The sequence below is a fragment of the Homo sapiens genome, chromosome 2 (assembly GCF_000001405.40).
Source record: "Homo sapiens chromosome 2, GRCh38.p14 Primary Assembly".
Taxonomy (NCBI): Eukaryota; Metazoa; Chordata; class Mammalia; order Primates; family Hominidae; genus Homo; species Homo sapiens.
Window position 1 is genome coordinate 46,473,752 of NC_000002.12, and position 17,889 is coordinate 46,491,640.

General features: G+C 46.8%; 1 protein-coding gene across 1 annotated transcript, besides 9 other annotated features; it reads left to right on the plus strand.

The window, feature by feature from the left end:
• Nucleotides 3,584-4,150: an enhancer, noted in NCBI's record as "H3K4me1 hESC enhancer chr2:46704474-46705040 (GRCh37/hg19 assembly coordinates)". NCBI's record gives its function as "activates a minimal SCP1, AML or CMV promoter by ChIP-STARR-seq in primed H9 embryonic stem cells {active_cell/tissue: H9 hESC(primed)}" and the evidence as "EXISTENCE:reporter gene assay evidence [ECO:0000049][PMID:30033119]".
• Nucleotides 4,151-4,717: an enhancer, noted in NCBI's record as "NANOG-H3K4me1 hESC enhancer chr2:46705041-46705607 (GRCh37/hg19 assembly coordinates)". NCBI's record gives its function as "activates a minimal SCP1, AML or CMV promoter by ChIP-STARR-seq in primed H9 embryonic stem cells {active_cell/tissue: H9 hESC(primed)}" and the evidence as "EXISTENCE:reporter gene assay evidence [ECO:0000049][PMID:30033119]".
• TMEM247 (transmembrane protein 247) lies at nt 5,814-10,674 on the plus strand. Its single transcript, NM_001424184.1, is given in 3 exon segments — nt 5,814-5,951; nt 6,654-7,013; nt 10,493-10,674. Coding segments are annotated over 3 exon segments (659 nt in total). The 5' UTR covers nt 5,814-5,834.
• Nucleotides 8,963-9,012: an enhancer, noted in NCBI's record as "active region_15704". NCBI's record gives its function as "activates an Ori minimal core promoter by ATAC-STARR-seq in GM12878 lymphoblastoid cells {active_cell/tissue: GM12878}" and the evidence as "EXISTENCE:reporter gene assay evidence [ECO:0000049][PMID:35858748]".
• Nucleotides 16,288-16,820: an enhancer, noted in NCBI's record as "H3K4me1 hESC enhancer chr2:46717178-46717710 (GRCh37/hg19 assembly coordinates)". NCBI's record gives its function as "activates a minimal SCP1, AML or CMV promoter by ChIP-STARR-seq in naive H9 embryonic stem cells {active_cell/tissue: H9 hESC(naive)}" and the evidence as "EXISTENCE:reporter gene assay evidence [ECO:0000049][PMID:30033119]".
• Nucleotides 16,288-17,353: a biological region, named in NCBI's record as "H3K4me1 hESC enhancers GRCh37_chr2:46717178-46717710 and GRCh37_chr2:46717711-46718243".
• Nucleotides 16,663-16,962: an enhancer, noted in NCBI's record as "active region_15705". NCBI's record gives its function as "activates an Ori minimal core promoter by ATAC-STARR-seq in GM12878 lymphoblastoid cells {active_cell/tissue: GM12878}" and the evidence as "EXISTENCE:reporter gene assay evidence [ECO:0000049][PMID:35858748]".
• Nucleotides 16,821-17,353: an enhancer, noted in NCBI's record as "H3K4me1 hESC enhancer chr2:46717711-46718243 (GRCh37/hg19 assembly coordinates)". NCBI's record gives its function as "activates a minimal SCP1, AML or CMV promoter by ChIP-STARR-seq in naive H9 embryonic stem cells {active_cell/tissue: H9 hESC(naive)}" and the evidence as "EXISTENCE:reporter gene assay evidence [ECO:0000049][PMID:30033119]".
• Nucleotides 16,983-17,042: an enhancer, noted in NCBI's record as "active region_15706". NCBI's record gives its function as "activates an Ori minimal core promoter by ATAC-STARR-seq in GM12878 lymphoblastoid cells {active_cell/tissue: GM12878}" and the evidence as "EXISTENCE:reporter gene assay evidence [ECO:0000049][PMID:35858748]".
• Nucleotides 17,153-17,202: an enhancer, noted in NCBI's record as "active region_15707". NCBI's record gives its function as "activates an Ori minimal core promoter by ATAC-STARR-seq in GM12878 lymphoblastoid cells {active_cell/tissue: GM12878}" and the evidence as "EXISTENCE:reporter gene assay evidence [ECO:0000049][PMID:35858748]".

Genomic DNA, 17,889 nt, shown 5'->3' on the forward strand with positions numbered 1-17,889 from the left:
GGTCCTTCACATCCCTTGTAAGTTGGATTCCTAAGTATTTTATTCTCTTTGAAGCAATTATGAATTGGAGTTCACTCATCATTTGGCTCTCTGTTTGTCTGTTATTGGTGCATAGGAATGCTTGTGATTTTTGCACATTGATTTTGTATCCTGAGACTTTGCTGAAGTTGCTTATCAGCTTAAGGAGATTTTGGGCTGAGACTAAGGGGTTTTCTAAATAAACAATCATGTCATCTGCAAACAGGGACAATCTGACTTCCTCTTCTCCTAATTGAATACCCTTTATTTCTTTCTCCTGCCTGATTGCCCTGGCCAGAATTTCCAACACTATGTTGAATAGGAGAGGTGAGAGAGGGCATCCCTGTCTTGTGCCAGTTTTCAAAGGGAATGCTTCCAGCTTTTGCCCATTCAGTATGATACTGGCTGTGGGGTTGTCATAAATAGCTCTTATTATTTTGAGATATATCCCATCAACACCTAATTTATTGGGAGTTTTTAGCATGAAGGGCTGTTGAATTTTGTTGAAGGCCTTTTCTGTATCTATTGAGATACTCATGTGGTTTTTGTCTTTGGTTTTGTTTATATGATGGATTATGTTTATTGATTTGCATATGTTGAACCAGCCTTGCATCCCAGGGATGAAGCCAACTTGATCGTGGTGGATAAACTTTTTGGTGTGCTGCTGGATTCGGTTTGCCAGTATTTTATTGAGGATTTTTGTATCGACGTTCATCAGGGATATTGATCTAAAATTCTCTTTTTTTGTTGTGTCTCTGCCAGGCTTTGGTATCAGGATGATGCTGGCCTTGTAAAATGAGTTAGGGAGGATTCCCTCTTTTTCTATTCATTGGAATAGTTTCAGAAGGAATGGTACCAGCTCCTCTTTGTACCTCTGGTAGAATTTGGCTGTGAATCTGTCTGATCCTGGACTTTTTTTGCTTGGTAGGCTATTAATTATTGCCTCAATTTCAGAGCCTGTTAATTGTTCTATTCAGGGATTCAACTTCTTCCTGGTTTAGTCTTGGGAGGATATATGTGTTCAGGAATTTATCCATTTCTTCTAGATTTTCTAGTTTATTTCCATAGAGGTGTTTATAGTACTCTCTGATGATAGTTTGTATTTCTGTGGGATCGGTGGTGGTAGCCCCTTTATCATTTTTTATTGTGTCTATTTGAGTCTTCTCTCTTTTCTTCTTTATTAGTCTTACTAGCACTCTATCAATTTTGTTGATCTTTTCAAAAAACCAGCTCCTGGATTCATTGACTTTTTGAAGGGTTTTTTGTGTCTCTTTCTCCTTCAGTTCTGCTCTGATCTCATTTATTTCTTGCCTTCTGCTAGCTTTTGAATGTGTTTGCTCTTGCTTCTCTAGTTCTTTTAATTCTGATGTTAGGGTGTCAATTTTAGATCTTTCGTGCTTTCTCTTGTGGGCATTTAGTGCTATAAATTTCCCTCTACACACTGCTTTGAATATGTGCCAGAGATTCTGGTGTGTTGTGTCTTTGTTCTCATTGGTTTCAAAGAACATCTTTATTTCTGCCTTCATTTCATTATGTACCCAGTAGTCATTCAGGAGCAAGTTGTTCAGTTTCCATGTAGCTGAGCGGTTTTGAGTGAGTTTCTTAATCCTGAGTTCTAGTTTGATTGCATTGTGGTCTGAGAGACAGTTTGTTATAATTTCTGTTCTTTTACATTTGCTGAGGAGTGCTTGACTTCCAACTATGTGGTCAGTTTTGGAATAGGTACGATGTAGTGCTGAGAACAAAGTGTATTCTGTTGATTTGGGGTGGAGAGTTCTGTAGATGTCTATTAAGTCTGCTTGGTGCAGAGCTGAGTTCAATTCCTGGATATCCTTGTTAACTTTCTGTCTCATTAATCTGTCTAAAGTTGACAGTGGGATGTTAAAGTCTCCCATTATTATTGTGTGGGAGTCTAAGTCTCTCTGTAGGTCTCTAAGGACTTGCTTTATGAATCTGGGTGCTCCTATATTGGGTGCATATATATTTAGGATAGTTAGCTCTTCTTGTTGAATTGATCCCTTTACCATTATGTAATGGCCTTCTTTGTCTCTTTTGATCTTCGTTGATTTAAAGTCTGTTTTATCAGAGACTAGGATTGCAACCCCTGCTTTTTTTTGTTTTCCATTTGTTTGGTAGATCTTCCTCTATCCCTTTATTTTGAGCCTATGTGTGTCTCTGCACGTGAGATGGGTCTCCTGAATACAGCACACTGATGGGTCTTGACTCTTTATCCAATTTGCCAGTCTGTGTCTTTTAATTGGAGCGTTTAGCCCATTTACATTTAAGGTTAATATTGTTATGTCTGAATTTGATGCTGTCATTATGATGTTAGCTGGTTATTTTGCTCGTTAGTTGATGCAGTTTCTTCCTAGCATCGATGGTCTTTACAATTTGGCATGTTTTTGCAGTGGCTGGTACCAGTTGTTCCTTTCCATGTTTAGTGCTTCCTTCAGGAGCTCTTGTAAGGCAGGCCTGATGGTGACAGAATTTCTCAGCATTTGCTTGTCTGTAAAGCATTTTATTTCTCCTTCATTTATGAAGCTTAGTTTGGCTGGATATGAAATTCCGGGTTGAAAATTCCTTTAAGAATGTTGAGTATTGGCCCCTACTCTCTTCTGGCCTGTAGAGTTTCTGCCAAGAGATCTGCTGTTAGTCTGATGGGCTTCCCTTTGTGGGTAACCTGACCTTTCTCTCTGGCTGCCCTTAACATTTTTTCCTTCAACTTTGGTGAATCTGACAATTATGTGTCTTGGAGTTACTCTTCTCGAGAAGTATCTTTGTAGCATTCTCTGTATTTCCTGAATTTGAATGTTGGCCTGCCTTGCTAGGTTGGGGAAGTTCTCCTGGATAATATCCTGCAGAGTGTTTTCCAACCTGGTTCCATTCTCCCTGTCACTTTCAGGTACACCAATCAGATGTAGATTTGGTCTTTTCACATAGTCCCATATTTCTTAGAGGCTTTGTTCGTTTCTTTTTACTCTTTTTTCTCTAAAATTCTCTTCTTACTTCATTTCATTCATTTGATCTTCAATCACTGATACCCTTTCTTCCACTTGATCAAATCGGCTACTGAAGCTTCTGCATGCGTCATGTAGTTCTTGTGCCATGGTTTTCAGCTCCTTCAGGTCATTTAAGGTCTTCTGTATGCTGTTTATTCCAGTTAGCCATTTGTCTAATCTTTTTTCAAGGTTTTTAGCTTCTTTGTGATGGGTTCAAACATCCTCCTTTAGCTCGCAGTGTGTTATTACTGATCGTCTGAAGCCTTCTTCTCTCAACTCATCAAATTCATTCTCCGTCCAGCTTTGTTCCATTGCTCGCGAGGAGCTGCATTCCTTTGGAGAAGAGGTGCTCTGATTTTTAGAATTTTCAGCTTTTCTGCTCTGGTTTCTCCCCATCTTTGTGGTTTTATCTACCTTTGGTCTTTGATGATGGTGATGTACAGATAGGGTTTTGGTGTGGATGTCCTTTCTGTTTGTTAGTTTTCTTTTTAACAGTCAGGACCCTCAGCTGCAGGTCTGTTGGAGTTTGCTGGAGGTCCACTCCAGCCTGATCCTTGCTCTAGAAGCTTCATCTCAGAGGGGCACCCAGTGGTATGAGGTGTCAGTCAGCCCCTACTGGGAGGTGCCTCCCAGTTATGCTACTTGGGGGTCAGGGACCCACTTGAGGACGTAGTCTGTCTGTTCTCAGATCTCAAACTCCGTGCTGGGAAAACCACTACTCTCTTCAAAGCTGTCAGACAGGGACGTTTAAGTCTGCAGAAGTTTCTGCTGCCTTTTGTCCAGCTATGCCCTGCCCCCAGAGGTGGAGTCCACAGAGGCAGGCAGGCAGGCCTCCTTGAGCTGTGGTGGGCTCCACCCATTTCGAGCTTCCTGGCTGCTTTGTTTACCTACTCAAGCCTCAGCAATGACAGACGCCCCTCCCCCAGCCTTGCTGCCGCCTTGCAGTTGGATTTCAGACTGCTGTGCTAGCAGTGAGCGAGGCTCCGTGGGTGTGGGACCCTCCAAGCCAGGAACAGGCTATAATCTCCTGGTGTGCCATTTGCTAAGACCGTTGGAAAAGCACAGTATTAGGGTGGGAGTGTTCTGATTTTCCAGGTACTGTCTATCATGGCTTCCCTTGGCTAGGAAAGGGAATTCCCCCACCCCTTGCACTTCCCGGGTGAGGCGATGCCCCTCCCTTCTTTGGCTCATGCCCCGTGGGCTGCACCCACTGTCCGACAAGCCCCAGTGAGATGAACCTGGTACCTCAGCTGGAAATGCAGAAATCACCTGTCTTCTGCGTTGCTCACGCTGGGAGCTGTAGACTGCAGCTATTCCTATTCAGCCATCTTGGAACTCCCCCTCCTACCCTATCTAATTTTCACATCGGTGCTGCAACGTAGGGAAGTGGCTAAATCTTTATCCCATTTACAAATGAATACACTTTCCCTTGATCACACAGCCGGAGAGAGTAGCGAAGCTGGAATTCAAATGCAGCCCTTTGTCTTTCCATATTGCAATCCTGCTTTCAACTACCAAAGATGTTTTGCTGCTTTTTTCACAAAATGGAAGATGACAAAATACATTCCCCAGCCCTCCATTCTACCCACGTGGAAGTATGAATGATGGGTTGTATTAGTGTCCTAGGTTTGCTGTAACCAAGAACCACAGACTGGTTGGCGTAAATGACACAAATTTATTTTCTCGCAATCCTGGAGAGTCAGCATCAGAGATCAAGGTGCCAGCAGGGTTGGTTCCTTCTGAGTGCTAGGAGAGAAAGATCTATTCCAGGTCTACGATGGTTAATTTTACATGTTGACGTCAGTGAGCCATTGGATGGCCAGATCTCTGATTAAATGTTATTTCTGGGTGTTTCTGGAAGAGATTAACATTTGAATTGGTGGACTGAGTAAAGCAGTCTGCCCTCCTCAATGTGGGTGGGATTCATCCACTCCACTGAGGGCCTAAATGGAACAAGGCAGACTGCCAGTTGAACTGGTGCTCTCAATTCAATTGCCTGACTACATGAGGTGATCCGTCAGTCTTCTCCTGACCTTGGACTGGGACTTCCACCATCAGTGCTCCTGGTTCTCAGGCCTTTGCGCTCAGACTGGAATTTATACCACCCGCTTTCCAGGGACACCAGCTTGCAGATGGGAGATCATAAAACTTCTCAGCCTCCATAATTGCATGAGCCAATTCTGTGTAATAAATGTCATTTTATGTTTCTTTGGAGAACCCTAATACAATGCCGGTCTCCTTGGTTTGTAGATAGCCATTTTCTCCCTTGTCTTCACATCATCATCTTCTTACAAGGACACCAGTCATACTGGATTAGGATCCCACCCTAATGATCTCACTTTCACTTAATCACCTCTATAAAGACCCTGTCTCCAAATAAGGTCACATTCTGAGGTACTGGGGGCTGGGAGTTAATACTTCAACATATGAATTTTGGGAAGAGAGGGGGACCTGGTTTAGCCCATAACAGGGTTTGTGGAGCTGTGACTCATTTCCAACACAATCTTCATTTAAAAAAGGAACCCAAGGAAATGGATTTCAAATGGTGGAATTCTGAGTTGCATGAGTTGGAACTCTAGTTTTCAAAGCCATCCTTATGGGCAGCAAAGGCCCATCCTGCAGTTCTTAATGTTAGCATGTTACTACCTCAAAGGTGTCACACCCTCCACCAAAGGGGCCCTAGCAACTTGTAGAATGTAGGCTATGATGACGACAGGGGATTGTGATGGTGGCCAGGCTGTGGAATCTGGTGAGGCCAAATGTCAGCACCTCAAATGATGTCTTGTGACCCCACCTGGCAGCGTTCTGGTTTTCTGGATGGCAGCAGAGGACAGGGAGATGATGGAAGCCCGGGGTGCGGGAGAAAGTTGCCCGACCTTCCCCAAGATGGTGCCTGGTGACTCCAAGTCTGAAGGGAAGCCAAGGGCTTATCTGGTAAGGGGGCTGCTGTGTCTCACCACCCCCGCCTATTCCGTCAGGGGGAGCAAGAATACTGTAGGAACACATGCTTTGAGCTTCCAGACAACTGCCAAGAACATCAGGTGACATGTACCCCAGCCCTGTAACTGGCACCAGCTGTCACCAGGGACCAGGTAGCCCTCCATAAGATTGTGAAGTCATATGAAGCTGGGTTTGGTCTCCTCTATCTACCTCCCCACTTGGGGTCCTTTCCTTGCTGGGTGGATAGGACCTGGCTCCCCACCATAGCCCTCTTCCTGGTCCCCAAATATTTAGGTTCTCTCAATTCAGACCCTGGGTTTCTTTCTCCCTCTGTAACTTCCTGAAGACCTGGCATCTAACTGACCTCAAAGTCAGGTAGAGTTGAGGATGGGCCCGGAAGTTGCCTCTTTGGTGATCAGAAAAATCACTAGAAAAATGGACATCAATCTACTCAACTCCCAGTGCCTCCACTTGCAACTTTAGGGCACTATTACTTTGTGCTAGTTTGCCCTCTCCTTGACCCGCAGGTCCTGACAACTCCCGGTAAGAGCACTTCTAATAAGAATTCAGCCTAGATCTTTACAATTCAAACACCCCAGTCCACTGCGGCCTGGGGCTGCGGGAGTTCCATGGGGTCAGGGGCAGCCCCATCCTGACTCTTCAAGGTACCTCCCCTCCCTGCTTCCCCTACGCCAGGAGGCAGAGTCCCAGAAGCCAGACTCCTCCTATGACTACTTGGAAGAGATGGAAGCTTGTGAGGACGGAGGCTGCCAAGGGCCGCTTAAATCGCTGTCCCCCAAGTCCTGCCGTGCTACCAAAGGCCAGGCTGGCGACGGACCCAAACCCGCAGAGCTGCCCCCGACCCCTGGGACTGAGCGCAATCCCGAGATGGAGCTGGAGAAGGTGCGCATGGAGTTCGAGCTCACGCGGCTCAAGTACCTGCATGAGAAGAACCAGCGGCAGCGGCAGCACGAGGTGGTGATGGAGCAGCTGCAGCGGGAGCGGCAGCACGAGGTGGTGATGGAGCAGCTGCAGCAAGAGGCGGCGCCCCGCCTGGTGGGTGACAAGGAACGGGGCACTGGGAGGAGGGAGGCCTGGAGCTGAAGTCCCATGGGGCCTGGAGCAGGCGCCCACCTTCCCTGCTTTGCGCGGCACCCCACCCTGCAGATCCTGGATCTCGGCTGAAAGGGGCTGAGCATCCACTCGGGCGGTCTCCAGCCCTCTCCGCCTTGGCTCACTTCCAGAGATGTCTGCTCACTGCCTTAAAGCTCGCTACCCTACCTGGCCAGCTCTGTTAAACAGAGCTTCCACGGGAAGCTGAGATGTGACTCTCTAAGGAGAGCTGAGGCCGGGAGGGTCCCCAGAACCACATCGCCCACCCGACAGCCTTTTTGGTAGCTTCAAGGAAAAGTCTTCAACATTTCCTCCCTCTTCCACCGCTCACAAGTCCTCTCTGCATCTCTTAAAATTTGATGCCTGGAGACTAGACCCAGAATCCCCACTGCACCCTGGCCAGTGGATTTTGATAGAACCATCACCTCCCCGATCAGGGCTATGTTTATTCTGTTGGATCATACTGCCTTCTAGTCAACTGAAACAGCCATCTTTTCACAAGAAGTACACCACTGTTCCCTAATCTGTATTAAATGGGGGATAAGAATGCCTACTTGAGATTAAATGGGATGTGAAGAGCTTAGCACAGTGGCTAGGCTATCATAAGCATTCAATAGTGGAAGATGTTGTTTAAAGCAGTGTTTCCTGCACTTTAAAGTCAGAAAGTCCTGGATTAAAATGCCAGTTATAAACTCCCTGACATTGGGCAAATTACTAATTTCCTTTGAGCTTTGGCTTGCTCATCCATGAAGTAGTACCTACCTCACAGGGTTGTTGTCAGGAATCAATGAGAGAACACACGCAAAGCACTTTGCAATTAGCCCAGCACATTAGGTAAGCACTCAATAAACGTTAGCTACTACCATTTTTATGTACTCATGCAATTCACTTCTTGACCCAAATGCAACAACATACATTTATCACTTTTCAGTTTTATTGGGATATGATGTATTAGCTGTGCTTCCCAGCTCTGAGTCATCCTCAGTTCTGAGAACCATGCCTTCTGCCTTTATCCAAATCATTGCTGTAATTGTTGAGGAGGAAATGACCTAAAGTAAATACCACTAAATGTCTCTGTATAGGTTGGCAATGTTCCATTAATCATCACCCTTGAGTTACATTTTATCCTGCTCACATTTCTCCACCTTATCCAAAAAACGGAGACGCACTGTCAAATGGTTTCCCAAAATTAAGATATTACATTACCTATAGCATTTCCCCAATTGACTGGTCCAGTTTTGTTTCTGTTTTTTTAAGAAAGTAAGGTTGGTTTTGCATCATTTGTTCTCAATGAGCACGTGCTGGCTTCTTAAACAATTATCTTTTTTTCTGTTCACAAAATACCTGCTTCATTATAAACATGAAATGATTTCACTGAACTCAGTCAAGCTTACTGAACTTGGATTTCCAGAATCTTCCCCTGCCCCCACACCCTTTTTGAAAAGTCTAGAAAACATTTGCCTATTGCTTAGACTTTAGCACACTTCCTAATATTTTTGAATTCTAAGTTCCATTTGCAAACTTGTGACTTTTCTCAGTAGCCTGGGATAAAATCTGTCACAAAGTGGAACCTGAAACTATTTAAAGCAGATATGATATTGTAACTATGCCTTTGGCCTGTGTCTCCTCCTAACCATATTTATTTTACCCCCTTTTCAGTTTGAAAATCTTTCTCCTTGCTGGATGAGATGGAAATCTTTGGTATATAGTCCTCTCTCTATTTCTCTCTTCTGCTCAAGAATTAGAACATTGAAAGTATTTTGAAAAGTCTAAAGGGTTTCACAAGCACTTTCTTTTTTAATGAAAGTCATAATGATCACTCATCAGCATTTCAGACTGAAACACGTGCAGACTGCAGACAGGTGGCAAAGTCCAGGGGTCCAGAGCCATACTGAGCCTGCAGAGAACCGTCGGGTCAGCCCCGTCCTCCACTCCCATTAGAACACTGGATTGCTTCCTCTGGTCTCCAACCTTCCTAGCTATTCATTTTAGAGGCAGCATCATCAGGTCATTTTCTGTCCCCTCAGTTTGGTCTAGTTGCCCTCACATTTTATGCAGCTGTTTCAACAGTGATGTGTCCCCATCCTCCAGCCTTTGGTGATAGTTTACAAAAGTGCTTACTTTTTGTGCATTTACTAAAAATTGGGGAGTTGACTTGATGTTGTACCTTCCTCTCTTCTCTTTTTCTGGGAGGGTGAATAGATGGACGGACAGAGAGAGTGTATTGAATTGAAAATACCTCTTTGAGTGTGTTTCTAGCTAGTTTAGGGCATCTCGGTCCCTGCCACCTGGTGCTTTCCAAAAATATGCCATGATTTTTACAAATATTTTAAAAAATAATGCATGGGTTATGCCCTCTTAACTATGGATCAAAATAATATCAGCTTTTGCCTTACTTATACATTGATACTTTCTACAGTTAAAATGAAGACTGTTGGGCCCCAGTTATATAGATTCAAGAAAAGAGCAACCCACAGACAGAATTAGCCAGACAACTCAAGCTGCTTTCCCCCAGCCCAAATACTCTGAGGGTTTAGGGAGACCCCATCACCTATCTCTCAGCACCTGCCTCCAAGAGACACCAAACCCTGGACTGAAGGACCATGGGCTGACCCACGTGATATGTGTCAGGACCCAGGGAGTGAGAAACAGTCATTTATATGCAAGGGACACCATGTCATTGGGCCACTGTCCAGGAAACTAGGTTGAATGTCAGGGCACTGTGAGAGAACACTCCCAAGACCCAACATCCACATGTGGGGCTCTTGGAGTCAGAGGGAGAAGACCCACGTGTGTGGCTCCAATGGGCCGTACAGACCATAAAGAGAAAGGAAGGTGGTGGCCTGGCGCCCCAGTCAGGAGGGATAAGAGCAGCTCAAAAAGTAAAAAATGATGAGTTCCTTCTATGTGCTAGTTACCTGACTAGGAATGTTCATTATCTCACTTTTCCTCCTTGTGATCTTTTGTTTTGTTTTATTTTTTTAAGAAACAGGATCTTGCTGTCTCACCCAGGCTGAAGTTAGTGGCATGAGCATAGCTCACCATAACCCCGAACTCTTGGGCTCAAGTGATCCTTCCACCTCAGCCTCCCAATAGATGGGACTATAGGCACACGCCACCAGATTTGGCTAATTTTTAAATTTTTTTTTATAGAGATAGGGGTCTCACTACATTGCCCAGGCTGGTCTCAAACTCCTGGCTTCAAGCAATCCTCCCACCTTGGCCTCCCCAAGTACTGGGATTATAGGTATGAGCCACCTTGCCCAGCCCTCATGATTTTGGAAATGGGCACTATTACCCTTTCTTTAGGTGAAGATGATGACTTGAGGTCACATACAGGCAGGGTCAGAGCAGGACTGAACCTAGATCTGCCTGGCGCCAACAATGGCATCATCATCTCCACTGTCTTCTCTCCCCCACAGTTTTCAGGAGGCCTCCAGAACTTCCTGCTGCCCCAGAACCAGTTTGCCATGTTCCTGTACTGCTTCATCTTCATTCACATCATCTATGTCACCAAGGAGATGGTCTTCTTTCTCTTCGCCAAGCACTACCTATTCTGCATTGCAGCCATTTTGCTCTGTTTGATTAAAACTTTCTGGTCATACTTCCAAGTGCCTTTGCTCTCTCCCTCACTGGGAACCCTCGCCCCTGCCATGCTAGAGTGTTATCCGTGCATGATCCCAGCCTCCCAGGCACCTCCTTTTTTCACTTTGTGCCTCTGTCCAATCAGAATCCACTCTTAGGAAGGGCCCTGCTGTCAGTCATTTACACCTGAGAGTGAAGAAACACGTTCATGCCCCTTATACAGAAACTGAGTTCTCACTGTGGACATGATGCCTTATCCCAAGAGGACGATTTCAGATGTTAGCAGGTCAGGGAGATATCTGCAGGGAAGGTGGGTTTAGAACACCTTTCCAGAACCATAGAAGTACATCATGACCAAGCTGGCTTGGGTTTCACCACATCTACTCATGTTCATAGACCTCTGAGGGGTGGGAAGCCTGTGATTTGCTTGGGAGCAGCCCCCGCCCCCATCTTCTGCAAAGATGTCCATGTCCTAATCCCCAGGATCATGAATACTTTATATGGCAAAAGAGGCTGAGATGTGATTGTGTTTAAGGACCTTGCAGTGGGGAAATGATCCCAGATTATCCAGGTAGGCCCGCGGTAGTCACAAGGGCCCTTGTAAAAGGGAGGCAGGAGGGTGCGAGTCAGAAAGGAGATGTGACCATGGAAGCAGGGGCCAGAATGACGTGGGACTGCGGGTCAGGGAACATGGGAAGCCTCTAGAAACCAGAAAAGGCAACAGAAGGATTCTCTGCTAGAGCCTCCGGAGGGAGCCCAGCCCTGCCACCCCATGTTAGGCTCCTGAAGCCAAGATGCCCAAGCTCCCTCCAGCTTGCCAACATGGCAGGATACCATCACCAGGCCACTGGCCAGGACTCATTTAGCACTGGGCCTGAGGAGACTTGTACACAGCTGGCCTTCAGACAGCATATGGTCAAAAAGGAGAGGCAGTGAAGCTCCAGCGAGCCTGGCACAGGCCTAGCTGAACCTGGTGGACAAGGGGTACCCCTATCACTAAGCTGTGTATCCCCTGGGTGAGGCATGTGGCAAAATAAGGGCATACTCCTAGGGGACATAAGGAAGGAGGAATTAAGTGCCTGATTAGACCCAGAGGACGTCATTAATTCTACTCTATTAGAAAGCTGGACATGGAAAAAAAAAAAGTTGACACACACCCCCACCCCGTACCCACCTACTAACCCAAGCACACAGACTCACAAAAATGCAGAAAGGCTAACCCAGAAACAAATACACTGACACAGAGATACAAAACAAGTATACAGTTGTCCACAGTAGAGAGGTTTACAGCCCCTCAAATAAACACACAACAACCCAAAGGAACAGACTTTGAACACCAGAAGGCTCACGGTCAGGCACAAAGTGAAGCTGCCCTGCAAGTATGCAACAAAGGGGTTCAACTCCCCCAGTCACCAGCCCCTCAGCCCTTCAATACACACACTCCTTGCAGACTGTCGGCTACTCTGAGCCCAGCAGCCCAGCCACGATGGCTGGCTGTGCCACAGGACACTTTAGTGATAATGTGGCAAACTGAATGAGGCTGGACACAGCTGTGCAATTAATCAAGTCTTTACTGACCCCTTCTCTCCTCTGGCATAGGGCTCTGCCTTAAGAGTGACAAGAGAATAAGTTTCTGTCTCATTGGGCTCTCGAGCGACTCTCAGTAAAATCACGTGAAAAAAATGACTGCCTTGGGACTTCAATGTCAGTACACATTATCATGCCATGTAAGTCCATGGTGACTTCTCATTTCCCACCCAACTCCATATATCCAATCCCATTGATAGCTGCATGTGACAGGTACTTAATTTGGAAGTGATAAAAGTATCATTTCTCATTAAACTTTCAAGGAAGGGCCGTTGTGGTATGGGTCACTTCTTCTGATCATTTTATTTGATCTGGGTTTCTGCCCCATGGGGTTGAGGTGAGAGAGATGGAGATAAGGATAGCAAAAAGTTTAAGGTCCACCTGTTTACCTTCTTAGAGCAGACAGAACTGGGCATTTATAAAACACACACACACACACACACAAACCAAAACACCCAAGTGCGTAAGGTCATTTAATCCATCCATCTGTTGCCAGGTAAAACTAGACTTAAATACATTCATTTTTCTTAATCTTCAGAGAAAGTAAACTCCCCTGAACGGTTAAGTGAGCATCTCATCCCACATGTTTAGCCACAGGCATGAAATCTACTCTTCCCTATTGTGTTTGAATACTGAAGCCACTAGCCTCAGATCTGCCCTCTAGGAAAATGAGAACTACTCATGGTCACTCCCTAAACTTAGAACAGATCTTCTGATTCAAATGCAAAGCAGAAAATCAGAAGAGAGAGGGAGGCAAAGGATAGGAAAAAGGCCCAGCTAAGCAGTTACCAGCCAGGTAACAAGCCAATGTACAAGCGCCTCTTCAGCACCAATGCTAACATACCATGCGCCCTAAGTCCCTAAGGAGGCTATCTTCACCAAAACCCTGCAGGTAGAAATGTATATCATCTCCACTTCACAGCCAGGGATACCGAGGTTCAGAGACGTTAGACTTAACTGAGATCATCCCAGAGCACATGTTCTTTCCATGTTACCCTGCTCCCAAGATCCTACCTTGGGAGGATCTCACAACCTTGCTGGGGAGATGAGTTTAACACACATGAAAATGTAAAGCAGCTATCAGTACACAGACCTCAGCTATAAACGAGATCATAGAAGAGCTCCCTGGAGCCCTGGGTGATAGAGGAAGTCTTCTTAAAAGACGAGCTCATAAGGCTAGGTAAGCCCGAACAGGTGGAAATCAGGAGGGATACCTCACACAAATGAAGATTAGGGTGGGAGTGTGTAACGTGTATCCAGGAGGGAAGGGTCACTCTTGCTCCAGGGAATGGTGTACAAGGTAACAGGCCTGGAAAATTGGTTTGGGGCTAAGTGTTAGGGAGCCTTGAATATTGGTCTGAGGAATATAAACTTAATCCCTTGGGAAATAGGCAATACACTAAAGATTATAGAGTGGAATAGTAATTCAAAACAGATAAATAAAAGCCTTCCTCCTCCTTTAATTCCTGGGGGCCGCTTTTTTGCCTGGACCTTCCCGTTTCCAGACCAAAAACTTTCTGAGGTCCTGCGTTTGAGGATTACTTTCAGCTGTAAAAGAAATCCAGCCACAATGGCTTCACCAAATAGAGGTTTGTGTTGCTCACATACCAAGAAGTCCCAGGTAGTCCATCCACGGCTGGTGAAACTGCTCTCAGAAGTCATAGAGGACTCAGGTGGTGCCTTCCTCCACCACCACAGGGCTCTTATCCTCAGCCCATGGCTTCCCGCCTCAGTGTCAAGTTGGCTGAAGCAGCTCCAAGTACCAGGTCCGTTACTCCAGGTCAGAAAAGGAGCCGCCTTTTAAAAGCATCCCAGGAAGCCCCACCCAGAGACTTCTGCTTCCGTGCCATTGGTCAAACTAAGGTCATGTGGCTGCACCTATCTGTAGGGTGTCTGAGGTGGTAAGGTTTTTGCGTGGACACTGTTGCAGCCTCAAACAGAATTAGAATTCTGATAGTATGAGTGGAGGGGGGAGATACTGAATTAAGCAAATAACTGGTGTATCATCCCTAATTCCTTAGGCCCAGCTCCCACTCCCTTCCTGAGCTGCTGAGCCAGAAAGCCTTGATGGGGTTGAAACCATCAGATGGAGCACAGCCGTAGCCAATCTGGGCCGGGCCACTGCTGCACTCTGCTTTAAGGAAGAGTACTGCATACCACAGCAGGGAGGTCATGGTTTTCCCTGGCCACACGCCTGGAGCCACTCTGCCTTCATCCTCCTGACCTCTGCCTGAAGCCCATGACCTGACACAATCAGGGCAGCAGACTGGGAAGGGCACTCCTCTCTGTGCTGGGTGCCCTCAGCAGAGCTGCAAGGGGAGGCAAGTTGGACTCCAGAGCCCCTTCCCTTCCTGATCCCAGATCCCACAGAGCAGAGCCCAGAGACAGTCAGGGGACTGTGATCATCCTATGGACACCAAGCTGCTAAAGTCTATGTATAAGAGATTGCACTCATTGCAAAGGACCACTAAGCTTCAGCCCAAATAATGAAGCACTAATAGTAAAGTTTCAGGCAGGCTTAGGGAGAGAAAGATGGGAAAATCTCTCCTGTTCCCTAAATGGAATATTGTAGGCTGCCCTCCTGAGCCCAAGGACAGGACTACAGTTGGAGAGACTCGGGGGCAGGAGGGTTAAGCCTTGATTCCAAAGGCCACTTTCCTGCCATGTCTATTTCTAGTCCCAAGTTAGCAGATGACTTGTAAGTAAGCAAGTCAGTTAAGTTTTCTAGGCTTCATTTGGGCGACCTCTAAATTATCTAGACTCTAACTCAGAAAAAAGAAGGACCAAAGTCTAGAGATTGTTCGAGAAATTCTGATTTAATTGATCTGAGATGACATCCAGAGATGATTTGTTAGCCTTACAAGTGCCCCAGTTGATTCTAATAAGCAATCAGGGTTGAAAGACCTAAATCCTTGCTCTTCAATGTGTGATCTGTGGATCAGCAGCATCGGCGTCTTAGAAATGCAGCATCCCAGACCCTGCCCCAGACCCACTGAAGCAGATGTGGTTTGACAGTACCCACCAGCCCCCAGCAATTCATATGCATCTTAAAGTCTGGGAAGCCTGTTATAGGTGATGAGACTCAATGCAATCTGTCCTGGTCTGTCCTGGGCTAGCGCGGTGGCTCACGTCTGTAATCTCGGCCATTTGGGAGGCCGAGGCAGGAGCCCAAGAGCTCAAGACTAGGCAAGGCAACATAGGGAGATCCCATATCTCCAAAAAAAAAAAAGCCAGGTACGGTGGCATGCACCTGCTGTCCCAGCTACTGGGAAGGCTAACAAGGGAGGATCACTTGAGCCTGGGAGGTTGAGGCTGCAGTGAGCTGTGATCGTGCCACTGCACTCCAGCCTGGGGGACAGAGCAAGACCCTACCAGAAAAAAAAAAAAAAAACAAAATCTGTTCTCTTTATGAAGACAATGCTCTTGGCCAGGAGGGTCTTCTAGGGGGAATGAGAGGGAGAACAACCGAGTGCACAGCCCTTCAGAAGTGCTATGGGGTTTCCATTAACCTCTGCCGCAGGCTAGGGGTGGCAGGAGCTTACTGTGCCACATCAGGAAGCTGAGCCTGTGGCAGCATATCTGCCCCTCCTCCCTTTCACCAGTTCATGCTCTGGGCTTCTGGGGAACCAAATGATTTCACCCTGCAGGCCAGGGCTGAGCAGAAAGTTCCAGAATGCCCTCAGGCCTGTGTCTGCTTCTGTCCCTTTTTTGATCTGACTCCCACGTGTAGCTTTGGGGAAATCTTGCTAATATACGTTCATTCATTATTTAAAGGTTGCTGCTGTTCTTCAGGAAGGTTAAGCATGATTAAAAGATGGGATTTTTCCACAGGGCACAGCAGAAAAGCTAGGGCTCCCACATTTTTAAGCTGTTTTGGCCAAGCCTTGTTGCATAATTCAAAGTCTGTGATTTACTTAGATTTAATTAGCCAAAGGAGCAGCAGCTGCAGGTTCATTAGTTAGTATTTATTAAGCGCCCTCAGAGGGCTTTTTAGGCTCTTAAGAGTGAAGTGGAGGATGGGTTTCGGACTTGCAAATTTCTTACACTTAAGTAGGAGGGGATTACAGATAGCTTCAGGAGGTAGGCATTTTTGTTCCTCAAAGAGAGCAAAGGGGTGGCATCAAAAGGCCTGAGCTCGTGGGGCAAATCCTACAAAGGGCCACGAGTCAGAGAGATGTCAGTCCCTCACAGGGTTATAGTGACAATTAGTGAGATAACAAGGTGGAGGCTGGTGGTGAATAAGAAGCTACACAGATGAGAGGTATCAGCCAGAGCAGGGAAGGGAAGTGACTGCTAACCTGAATTTCAAGAACTGGGAGAGGTGGGGAGGTCCGGCTCCTGAATTTGTGGGCCCAGTGCAAGAGGACAATGCAGTGTCCCATCATGAATTCCACGACGGTGACAGCAGAGCATTAAGCCATGTGGAGAGCCCCCACTGAGAGCAGGGCCCTGTGCCACTGCCCTGGCGGTGGATGACGGAGACCCCAGGGTTAAGGGGCTTTTGTGGTGCCTCTCAAATCTCACCCAGAGAGTGACTATCCTTGGCCTGTACTCCATCAACAGGAGGGAGGGAGGGAGCAGGCTCTGTGCATTTTGCAGGGGCAGGGACCGTTGGAGCAGGCCATTGGAGGAAGGAGTCTGGTGGCCCCAGGGCAAGTGGCCCCTGCATGCCTTCCAGCTCTGGGCGCAGAGTCTGCCTGCAGAGGCGCCTCTTCACAAGCAGGTCACGCTCTAGGCTTCCAGCTGCTAATCACAGGGGCTCTCCAGCTTGGGTGCATTTCCTCCCTCTGCTCCTGGCTTCCGCCCCAGTCCCATTCAGCTGATCATTCTCCGCTGGGCTAGAAAATCCAAAAATAGAAGAAAGCTACACTTTTTACCCCCTTGAGCCTCTTGTATCAAATGACACAGTCACTTTGCCTCAAACTTTTCATCAAAGCAGCCTTTGTAAGGTCCTGGGGCAGAAAGCAGGCCTTGGAAGACAGCCACCAGGAAGCCATGCAGAAAGTGCTGAGCAGGGGGACCCTTGGTGGAGGAGGTGGGGAGGGCAGGGTTTCAGGAGCTTCCCTCTGCCCCAGAAAGAGCCAGTGACAGACACTTGCTACCATGGGGCAGCTCTTCTCTGAGCACCAGCTCTAGCTTCAGGTCTTGGAAGTGCAAGAGCAGCAAATAGTGTGGCTGCACAGACCACCCATTGCCAGGGTTCAACAACCAGACCACAGAGCTCAATCAGTGATTAAGGAGCAATGATTGATCAATCAAATAAACAGAAGGAGTGTAAGAGACGATCTGAGAAAGGCTCTGTGAGCTAAAGCATTCTGTGACGGCTTCTTGAAAAGGAAGCTCACCCTTGCCGAATACCTAGGATGTATTGTACCCTGTCCAACACTCTCATGTCATCTATTTTATCCCATAGCCCTCCATGAAGGAGCACTGGTACGCACTAGATTAATCTGCCCAGGCTGCTCTAACAAAATACCACAAACTGGGTGGCTTCAGCAACAGATGCTCATTTGTCCACAGTTCTGGAAGTTGAAAGTCCAAGATCAAGGTGTTGGCAGGTTTGGTTTCCTCTGAGGCCTCTCTCGGCTTGCAGATGGCTGCTGCCTTCTCACTGCATCCCCACGTGGTCTTCCTCTCTGTGTGCATC